Raw genomic sequence first — 11,315 nt, 5'->3', positions numbered from 1 at the left:
TAGCAGTTCTTCTGGCTCTTGGTGGAGACAGAGTAATTTTAACCCAAAAATAGGTCTTTCAAAAATATTGCTGAAATAAAGGAAGCAGTAATTAGGATGGTTCAGTCTACTAAACTCCAAACTTAATACAACAAACCATGTCTGCATTAAGATAGAGGCCTTGCTGCTGCAGAGGGTGGTTAAAACAGCCTTTGTATGTTTTTATTTTTCTGCTGGATATTATTCTGTAACACTTCTAATTCAAGCAATTCTAGAAATAAGGGAAGAAGAGCCATATGTAACTATTTATGACCACAATCCAGAACTAGTCACATCTTGAGTCATAACTTCATAAACGTAAATAATGAAATCTCTAAACTATTAGTCTACTCTTTTTGAGCTTGTATTTGGAAATACAGTAATAGGTGGAAACACTAGGACATCTGGACAAGAGAAGGTAGAAATTTTTTAAAAGCACTTTCTATGTATATAACATTTTCTGTGTGTGAAAAAAGAAATGCTATATTCCATCTGTAGAGTAAAATAGGATTGCCTGTGGCAAAGGCAAGGCTTCTAAGAAACAGCTCAGACTGGAAATTCAAAACACACTCTGGGTTTCCCCCTTCCATTTTTCTTGAAGTTACCAAGATGAGTGGTCATGGGATGAAAGTGCAATATTTATTCAGCATTTGCCGTGGGCCAGATACTGTTCTAAGCATATTACATATGTGCTCCCTTTTAATCCTCCAATTACAACTATAAATAGATCTTAATATGCCTATTTTAGAGATAAGACAGCTGACAGAAAAGTTGTAGAAGATCATAAAGCAAGGAGTTGGAACAGAATTTCAAACCCACATTTGTCCAATATAAAATCCATACACTTTTTACCACGGCATGGTGCCTCCTAATACCAGATTTCTTGGTGTCTCTTGCTGAGGACAGTTTGCTTTTTGTGGCAGCTGTCCTTATTAGATGTTGGGTTACATAGAAAAGTCTGTGGGATTGGCAACAGGTCAAACTTAAAGACCTTTAAGATTCCTTCCAACCTTTACATACATCCTCCCACCATAGTGCCTTTGTATATGCTATTTTCTCTGCCTGAAATTCTCTTTGCTTTTTTTTTTTTTTTTGCCTATTTAACTACTTCAGATTTATCCTGCAGACCTTAGCTTAATCATTTCTTCAAAACAGTCTTCTTTTCCTTTGTTCTGTTCACTGTTTCTACTACACACTTTTTTTTTTTTGACAGAGTCTCACTCTATCACCCAGAATGGAGTACAGTGGCACGATCTCGGCTCACTGCAACCTCCGCCTCCCAGGTTCAAGTGATTCACCTGCCTCAGCCTCCCAAGTAGCTGGTATTACAAGCCTGTACCACCACACCCAGCTAATTTTTGTATTTTTAGTAGAGATGGGGTTTCACCATGTTGCTCGGGCTGGTCTTGAACTCCTGACTTCAGGTGATCCACCCACCTTGGCCTCCCAAAGTGCTGGGATTATAGGCGTGAACCACTGCGCCCAACCTTACTACGCACTTTTAATAACGCAATGTACCTTTTGATTGTGTAACTTATCACAGATGCAATTTTACATTTATATGTGTGTTCTAAATATCAGATTCCTTATCTCTAAAATGAACTATTTGTCTCCTGTCCCCAGTGACTCACCTGAATGATAACAAGTTGTAACTGTTATTTGTTGATTGTCTCTTTCCTCTGTGCTAGGTGTTTGGTGAGGTAATCAAAGATCCTTAAGACTTGTTCTCGGCACTCAAGGAACTAATAATCTGATTGAAAGGGTGTTGCTAAGAAATATAAAATGATTACAGAGCAACCAAGTTCAGGATGTAACCACATCTTTTGCAAGAAAAAACTGCTTTCTTTTGTTTTTTTCCAAAGAACTATCTCTCCTTCTAATCTATGTCTTACTTATAAACACTGGCATATGAAAGCTGATGCAGTTTCAGGAATAAAGTAATATAATTAGAAAACTGGAAAGAAGCTTGGAGAACAGTGGAAAACCGATAAAGGTGAGAAGGAAGAAATGAGAACCACAGTTTGCCACATATCTCAGAAATGTTCCATCTTATAGTGAATGATAGTGGGCCAAAGCTCACCAAATTTGATATCAGCAGTCAATATTTATCTTGACTCTTAAAAGCAGAGCAGAGAAGGAACTATATGTTTAGTAAATTAGAGATAAAATGTGGACCATGTCACCTCAGTCAAAAAAGAAGGTGGACTCCAGTTATAGACAGCTAGAACCCTTAAAGGATAAAACCACAGACCAAGGGTAATTGTATAGGAAACAGAATAGGGTCCCAAATATAAGCTCCATAAGCCCATCTGAATTCCGAAGGTCTCCCAGATCCCATCATACCGATGTTACCAGAAGCGACACATTTCATTCCCAATTTACAAATGGCACATACATACAGTAGGCGCAGACCTCTCCCTAGTCTGGAGGTGCTCACTGCTACTGGCAAGACAGCCATTGTGAAAGTCAAAATGAAATCCTAAACTTTAAAAGAATCCATATTTTTAAAGTAAAAGGGTGAGAAGAAATTACAAAATGTATAAAAATGGGGAACTGAACCAAATGTTCCTGCTCCTCAATATATTATTTCTGCCCCTCACTACCAGGATTCTTTCTCTAGTCATTTTTCAAACTCCAAAATTTTCTTATGGAAATGTTCATTTGCAACTACAAGATACTCTTAAAATTGCATATGTCTTTGGAACGGCAGATAGTCTTGCACACGACTGTGAATTCATTTAATCAAGTTATTTTACTTAGTTCCAACTTGCAGCATACTAAATGAATGCTGATTGTTAAGAATAAAGAGCAAAGACAAGCTGATTGAGATAGAAAAAGGCCAGACAGAATGAGGACAATAGGTACAGGAAAAAGGATTTCAGGAGAATATTGGAGAAGTAAGGTGCAAAAAGAGCAGAAAGGAAAATAATTATTATTTTCACCTATTTCAAGGCCCAGAAAGGCCGGTGCTATACCCCTCAAAAGAGGAAGAGAAATTTATTTCTTTTTCTTGACCCTGTTGAACAGAATAGGCTCAGTTCCTAGGACCAGATGTGAATCTGGTACCATTACAAACCACAAACATTAAATAGGTTTTTTGGAACTAGCTTAGTGACATAGCTCTTGCAGGAAAATGTGATATTCTAAAAAACTTAAAGGAAGTCCTCTTACAGCTCTAGAACAAGGACTAACTTTGAGGAATATAATGAAGATGGAACATTTGAAATTTCCAATATTTTAGAAACTATGACCAACAAAAATGGCAGTTTCATATGGTTCAACCCAAAAGTTAATAAGCTGATGACTTCCTAAATGTCTTATCTGAAATTACATCATCAGAATGAAGAATTTGAAAAGCTACTTGCTACACCATGTAGCAGAAAAAAAAATTTTAAATATAGACTTTACTAGTCTTGAAGACATACTGTGATTGATGATGCATAAGAGATGCTGTTCAAAATAGTCACATTATAATACCCAATTCCAGATCAAGCCCTCTGTGTCCATGTCAATTTATTCCATTTGTTATTTAGACAGCACTTCCTTCAACAGCCGTAGGGAACCTAAGACATCTATATCCATGGGTGTTTTAGGTTGAGGTCGACAGTGGGCATTATGGGTTTCAGGGCAACTTTAGGTGAACTCAGTTTTCCCTTGTATCACTTAATGTGATTAATGTTCACATGGAGGGTTTTGCCACGTGATCTGGCATCCTTACAATCATGAGCTTACTTATGAAACAGGGAAGATCGCTTTTAGGTTTTCCTTTTCTTTCCCAGAATAGCAATTTAAAAGCCTCTAACTTAACATCTAGATGAACCATAAGGTCTTTTTCAGTTCTATCATTTTGTGATTAGATTTTATGGAAAAGAAAATGACTATGCTTGCTCTCACGTGCATAGGGTATTTCTATAACTATATGCAAGAAACAGGCAACATTAGTCTTTCTTGAGAAGGGAAACTTGCTTTTCCTTGTACTGAGCTTTTGTGCACTGAACTTTTTTTAAATACCATGTATTATTTGCTAACAAGAATTAAAAATACAATTTAAAATGTAAGCAAAGCATTTCACTTGTTAAAGTACAGAACCTCTCCCTGCATAAATGTTTAGTTCCTGTTCTTCTTGTTCTTCTTTATGACCTTACCATTATTGTGATTAAAAAAAAAAAAAAATCCTAGGCACTGTGGGAGGTGAAACAGATGCAGAAGACTTTGACGATGGAAATTGCTATTTATTCTGCAAATATTTGTAACTACTTGTTATGTGACAGATCCTGGGCTAGGTACTTCCTCCTTTACATGACTTCTGGAAGGCTTCTTGTTTAAACATCCACGGTCTTTTTTGTTTTTGTTTTTGTTTTTGTTTTCTTTGAGAGGTCTGCATGCTTAAAATGCTTCCCATAGATAAGCAGTGGTTTGTTCTCCATGAATGCAGCAACAAATTAGGTTACCTGCAGGGAGAATCACCTCCCACACTAAGGTAGGTCCCAGGTGTTTGAGGCAGACACTACCGTGATGACCGGTACATGAGTTAGAGAACACTTTGTACAGAGGGAGAGAGTCCTCTTGACTAGATCTGCAATATTGAGAACAAAAAGAGGCAAGTGAAGATAAAAAAGGAAGGTAGTAGAGGGAGATGACTGGCAATAGAAGCTAGTACAGTAGTATCTTACTTCACAAAATTATTGAGTTACCCAAAAGCTGATTCCAAAGTTTTGTAAATATCATCCCAACACATTAGAAAGGCTTGCTAAATTAAAGAAGCTTGCTACTTAGAGCTTTTGTCAAGCAAAAAGGCCCTTATTTCAATTCAAATTTTACATAGATGACTTGTAGGTAAGAACTCTCAACATTTTCAAAGCCCTTAGACATACATTTCTTTGGATTCTCACAAAAACGCCATGAGAATTGTTTTCCCTTCCACAGATGAGGAAAGTGAAGCTTAGAGGTTGAGCCACTTGCCCATGGAAGCCTGGTAGGGAAATGGCTGAGGTTAAGACCAGGACCCCGGCACACTACTCATTGGCACTAAGGTAGCCCCATGACATGTCTCTACAGAGATAGGCAGAGCAAAAGAAACTTACTTTTTCAGGCAATTTTCTCTGATTTTCATAAAACTGTAGCTACCAAATGGGGATACCTAGGGTATCAGTTTTATGATATCCTAGGTATCCCCGTTTCTCCCATTCTTCCCCTCCAAACCATCTTCCTGGGTCTGCTGCCCTGTCCATCTTCACAGAATTCAGTTCGGATTGTCTCCTCCCCCAGCATCTCTGCTATCTCCACGTAGTCTACAAACTAAGTGCAGGAGCCACAGACTGACAGTCAGGACTTCTGCCTGAGCCCCCATCCACAGCTCAAACCCTCTTTCCTATTTCACTATGCTAATGCTTACCCCTTGCACTCCAAACAAGCAGGTCTGTGTACCACCATCTAACACCCCAACAGGGCCAGGCTAGGGTGAGGTGAGTCACAGCACTTAAAGGTTCACCAAAGAATTCAGTAATCAAGGTTAATATTTTAATGGAATATTTAAAAAAATCAAAATTAATATCAAAAATGCATGATGAAAAATAACAAAATTTTAAATAAAGACAGGGTAAGTTTAGGGGTTTTTCCTATTGCTTCAGGCTCAAAAGTGCCTTCCGGGGCACTGTTATCGGCCCTGCAGTGACTCCCCACACAGATACTTTTACTAATGATGTTTCCCAAAAGTTAGTTCTTACAACCGCTTTCTACATTAGTAACGTCTTTCTTCTTGAACGCTCCAGCATTTAAGTGTAGCGCTCTACTGTCAGGAAAACCCATTTCCCCTAGTAACTAGTAGTACTTCGAAGATATTCTGAATCATCTTGGATCCTTTCCAGCACTTTCCCAAACCACAGTGAGCACTCAGCACCACTTCGCTAAAAGAGTGCAGAATCACAATGCTCAAATCACTGTCTGGGGGGTTCAGCAGGGAGGGGACGCAGATATGTTTTGTTTAGTCCAGGGTGTTTTGAGAAAATTGAATTTGTTATCAAGATTTTACAAATCAGGATATTGTACATGAATATACTCCGTCATTTCTGGAAAAATCAGAAAATCTAGCAACACTAGGTCTAATTCTTGCCCGATAGCAAGGGACCCTGAGAGCAGATAAGCGGCCCTGCCTTCGGAGCTCTCTCCAGTTCGCCTTCCCCCAGTTACAGTGCCTGTCAGGCCCCATTAGATCTTTGAGTTTGCTATCGTAAGAATAAAGGAAGGAGCGCACAGGATAAAAACCCATCGGCTGGGTCTATTCGTTTTTTCCTAGAGAAAAAAAAAAATGTTTCCTGGTTGTCCTTTCGAATATAGTCTCACAGAGAAGCTCACAGAAGCAGCCCACCTTTCTAGCCCACAAACTTCCCACAAGCCGTGAAAGTCGCACCGGCTCTTGCACCCAGATCGGTTTCTCCCGGGTCTTTGGCTCAGGGCCCCCGCCCCTACATTGGCCTTTCCCTTCCTCTGCCACCTCCGCGCTCCGAGGCCTGGGGCGGGTCGCGGGTCCCGGCCCCCAGCCCCCAGCCCCTAGCCGCTGCTCTTTGCCCCGGGCCAGGGCGCTCGGGCTCGCCCACGGCGGCACTGAGCATGCTCAGAGGCGGCCGCGCGGGCAGGTTTGCTTCGCAGGCGCTCGCACTCGGCGGCGGGCGGGCGCGCGGCTGCAGCTGGAGCTCCAGCGCCCGGAGTTGGAGTTGCCGGGAGTTTCCCCCCAACCCCTCCCTTTTCGCGCGCGGCAGCAGGAGCCGGCGCGGGAGCCGCGAGCGGCGGCGAGCCAGCACCCGGGCCGGCTAAGCCTTGTCCGGAGCCCGGAGCCCCGCGCGGGGCAGCCCCCCGGGGAGGAGCCTCGTGCTCTGGGACGCGTGCCGCGCACTGGCACGGCAGGGGCGCGAGCCAGGCTGCACGGTAGGACCGGGGCGAGGGGAGCCAGGCGGTCAGGGCGGAGGCCAAGCCCGGGAGATGCGGTTGCAGCCGCCACGGCTGTTGGGGCGCCTGGCGCTCCGTCCGAGGCGGGTGGCTGTGAGGCCAGGGGAGTAGGCAGGCTCCCAGAGAGATTCTTCCAAGTTGGCGGGTGGCGGGAGAGGGGGCCGCGCGCCCCGGCGCAGCTGCTTTGTGCGCGCAGAGAGGGACTCGTGTCCCTGGTTCTCTCCAACCCTGGGACCCGTTGTGCGGGCAGTATTGGGCAAGCCGCAGAACGGAGCGATTTCCTCCGAGAAAGTTGAGGATGGAGCCTTTTTTTCCGCACCGTCCCCGCGATGGCATGGGCCCCGAGAATGCTGCCCCGAGGCTCCCAGTGTGGGGGAGCTCGGGGTCGCTGCGCCTCTAGCTTGAGCGCAGAAATCCGCGAATCACTCCGATCTTCGCGAACTCTGGCATCTTCTAGGAAAATCATTACTGCCAAAACTGAGGCGAGCTTTTCTGGCGGGCACGGCACCCTGCCCCCAGGGCGCTGGCCCTGGGCGATGCCCCCTTTCCGATCTCAGGCTTGGTCAAGGGCGCCAGGTTCCGAATTCGCGCTTGCCGTGCACGCCGGCATCGAGCCTCACCAACACCGCCGGGCAACGTGGCTGGAGTAGGTGGGTGGCTTGATTTTCCCTCCAACCTTTCCTCAGGTTTACAACACCCCGCCACCTCACCACCCCACCCCGTTCATCTTCACAGAGGACAGGACCTGCAGGTGGAGAATTTGGAAAGACATCTTGTTCTTTAGGAGAAAGTCCCCGGGGTGTATCTGCCCTTGGTTCTGGCCCCAGGATTTCATAACGAACCTTCTCCCCTTCCTATTACGCTTCCCTAGGGACTGGGTGGGAGAGAATAGGATCGGTAGGTCCGCAGGAACTTCCATCTCATTCCACCCTCTCCTAAGATTGCCTTCCGGGCGACCCCAGGACCCTGGAACTGGCATTGTGCGGATTGTAAGGCTGTGGAGGATGCCGACGAATTTTTCCTGGCTCCACTTTTTTCACTTCTTGTTTTGAGTTTTGGGGTTTTGCCTGCACACTAGTCAGAGCTGCGCCCTAGTCAGAGCCACCCTGGGGGTGGAGGAGCTTCAGCCGAGGCTGTGAGCTGCTGTTCGTCTCAGAGGCTGCTAGTGGGAATCGGTCCAGAAATGATTATGCAGGCTAGAAATATGCCTCTCTTTTTTTCTTTTTTGGCTGAACACCTTGGCTGTTGGGTTTGTGTGTTACGTTCTTAAAGGGACACCCTCACACTGCTCAAGTGCCAGGATTTAGGGGCTCACCATTCTGCTGCCTGTTTTTCTCTTTGCTTTTTCCTTGAGGGTAGTCTGCTTTGGGGCCGATTTCTAGATGTGCGAATCACATAATGTGGATACACTACACAGTTCTAGAGTCAGACAGACTTGAGGTCAAGTTTCAGCTTTACAGCTGATGACAGTGCTGATGGACAAATGATTAGTCACTCTGAACTTAAGTTTTCTCTTCTGTCAAACGGAGATAATCGTGGCCTTACCTCCCTCCATTGCAGGGTTGTTGTAAACTCAGATGAGATAATGAAAATGAAAAGAGCTAAGAAAACTTTAAAAGCACCATTCAGGTCTTAGATATTGTCTCTGTGCTCTTTACTCAGTTGTTTTGAATGAGCTAATTCTTAATTATAACAAGACATCTAGGTCTTCTCTCCTCTCTGTCCACTCCTCACCAAGTGGTTTAGTTGCTTGGGCCTTTGGAAGCATCTGTTTACCCTTTTTCTTTCTCTATCCTCAAATCCATCTCTTTTGATTTTAAGAATTGGAGCTCCAGTCCTCATATTTATCTGAGGAAGGCAGCATGATGTAGATTAGGAGATGACTGGGGTGGCCTTATCAACATTCAGAGTCCTAGGCCCCAGAATTGGCACGGTCAGAAAGGCCTTAGTTTGAAACTCAAGGCTGATGAAGAAGTCAGCAGATCCTGGAATGGAGCTCTGACTTGACCTCTAATAGTGACCTTGAACTAAGGACTCAAATCCTAATCTGTGAAATCAGTCTATGAAGATTAAAAGCCAGTATCAATTGAAGGCAAGAACAGGTGAGATTATCACTCAGTTAAAAAGGGTTCACACAGGCTCCTGAGCCACCCCAGGTGCAGCATCTTCCCTAATCTTAGGGCAGTGGTTCTCAGATCAGAATCATCTGGAGGGCTTGTTACATCTCAAACTGTTGGGCTATACTGCCAGAGTCTCTGATTCTCTAGGTCTAGGGTGAAGGCCCAAGAATTAGCATTTCTGACTAGTTCCAGATGATGCTAATGGTGCTACAGACCATGCCTATAGAATCACTAACTTATGGAGTGGGAGATAGTAAGAGAGATGACGTTTGTTGTGAAATGCCATTATTTTACTAGCTCATATACAGAGACAAGGTTTCTTTGGGGGTGTGTTGGGAAGTCTCCTTAGGCATTTTATGTTCCAATGCCTGTGCCACTTACCATTATCTAGGTTTAATAATTCTGATTGCTCTTCAAATGGATGTATTTTACAAAGAGGTAGGATTCCCCCTTCTTTTCATACTGTAAAATATGTAGTCTCAGGTTTTAGATCACCCTTGGGTAGTGCCGGATTGGTGACCTTTATAATTTATAAAATCTAAAAACTACCCCATTTCCTTTTTTGGAGAAACCTCAGACATTTGTGGAAAGGAGGTTACGTACAGTTCTGACAGCTTGAACCTTAAGGTTGGAGGACAGAATAGATCACCTAGGGAACAAGTTTAAGAAGAATTTGCAGTGGTGTCTTTTCCGAATGGACAGCTTACCCAGGCCCTGGAAGGAGCATGAAGTACACCCCACGACAAATGTCCCATGGTGGTTAGACCTGGCAAAGCCCTTTCATTCCTTCTGGAGAATGGTAGTGGCATTGGCAGTGGCTGAGACCCTCTCTTCGTCTCTAAGAGGGTAGAAGGCTGGCTTTCAGGGGCAGCTGATCAGTATTAGTGTGGTGTCCTGTGTAACCTAGCTTGTAATGAAGCACTATTGGGACCTAACCCAATCTTAAGCTCTTTTCCTTTTCCCCCACGCCATAGTCCTGTGCTGTGAGCTCACCATGACTTCCTATGACCTAGACTGTGGCCTTGAATTTTGACTGCTTTGCATCAGAGAGGCTGTGGGAGCCTGCTTGAGTCAGGAGGGTTCCTGCAATAACATCCTAAGGAAGAAATAAAGTTTACATAATGTAGTGCCCAAATCAATTAGGTATAAGAGGAGGTCAGTCAGTGCCTTAACTAGTTCTTGTGTTGCTAGGCCAAATGGGATCCCAGCTCACTGTCATGCTTTATCTCAGCTGTCCATTTGTGCTTTGTTTTAGTTTTAAAATGATTAGCACTAGAGAAACCTATCAGTAAATCAGAAACCTTTAAAAAACTCAAGTGTACACTTAGTGTTTTAGTAGATAAAACTTTCAGGCCCAAACCTGTCTTCCTGACAGCAGTCAGCACTTGGTGAAGGAACAGCCTTCTGGTTGTCACTCTTAAGATTCATTAGTTAATTTCAATGGTTTTTCCCACTTAGTATAAGTAGGGAACATTTCTATTTTAAAATTTCTTCCCATAACCTGATGTTTATATTTTGGGTGTTACCCCTGCTTTGAGGGCAGCCTCTTATCACTGTTGTTCACTTTTCTCAGTACATGGTATCTTTGCTCCCTTTAATAAATCTGTTGTGAGACGGTCATTATGACACTTTATTTCTTTTTGGTCATTAGGACTGTTATTACTGAGTCACAGAGAGTCAGGGCCCATTCCTAGAGCATTATTCTCTATGTTCCTAGAGGGTGCTTTTAAACTAAAACACTAGTTATACTGCACTAGCTCATTTCTAAGATACATTCTTTTTCTGATTTCAGAAGCCCAGATGGATCTTAAAAATTATGAACACATTTAGGCCAGGTGCAGTGGCTCACACCTGTAATCCCAGCGCTTTGGGAGGCTGAGGCGGGTGGATCACCTGAGGTCAGGAGTTCAAGAGCAGCCTGACCAACATGATGAAAACCTGTCTCTACTAAAAATACAAAAACAAATTAGCTGGATGTGGTGGTGGGCACCTGTAATACCAGCTACTCGGGAGGCTGAGGCAAGAGAATTGCTTGAATCTGGGAGACGAAGGTTGCAGTGAGCCGAGATCGTGCCATTGCACTCCAGCCTGGGCAACAAGAGTGAATCTCCATCTCAAAAAAAAAAAAAAAGAAAAGAAAAAAAAAGTATGAACGCATTTAATGTGCAGTTTTTTTTTCTTCTGTAACCTAGTATGTTAGTGTAGTGACTATCAATTGATGACATCCTCAAA

The 11,315-nt window shown here is 43.7% G+C and overlaps 1 protein-coding gene and 1 long non-coding RNA gene across 15 annotated transcripts in view; one reads left to right on the top strand and one right to left on the bottom strand.

The window, feature by feature from the left end:
- Nucleotides 1-4,229: 4,229 nt before the first annotated feature.
- On the bottom strand, nucleotides 4,230-6,476 carry LOC124903295 (uncharacterized). The gene is made up of 2 exons (XR_007064091.1): nucleotides 6,386-6,476; nucleotides 4,230-4,594 (listed from the first exon to the last, which is right to left on the bottom strand). It is a non-coding gene; the product is annotated as an uncharacterized LOC124903295 (long non-coding RNA).
- A 196-nt stretch (nucleotides 6,477-6,672) lies between these two features.
- STXBP6 (syntaxin binding protein 6) overlaps nucleotides 6,673-11,315 on the top strand; it is a 240,694-nt gene continuing 236,051 nt past the window's right edge. For 8 of the 14 annotated variants that reach the window (NM_001394418.1, NM_001394420.1, NM_001394410.1 and 5 more), the window contains exon 1: nucleotides 6,673-6,942. The gene's annotated coding sequence lies outside the window, so the exon portion shown is untranslated. Of the gene's footprint in view, nucleotides 7,614-7,819; nucleotides 7,861-11,315 lie in introns of those variants that run through there. The other 6 variants (NM_014178.9, NM_001351943.3, NM_001394412.1 and 3 more) reach the window with 3 other exon arrangements.

This window comes from Homo sapiens, chromosome 14 (genome assembly GCF_000001405.40).
Source record: "Homo sapiens chromosome 14, GRCh38.p14 Primary Assembly".
Classification (NCBI taxonomy): domain Eukaryota; kingdom Metazoa; phylum Chordata; class Mammalia; order Primates; family Hominidae; genus Homo; species Homo sapiens.
This window is presented reverse-complemented; position numbering and strand designations above follow the sequence as displayed.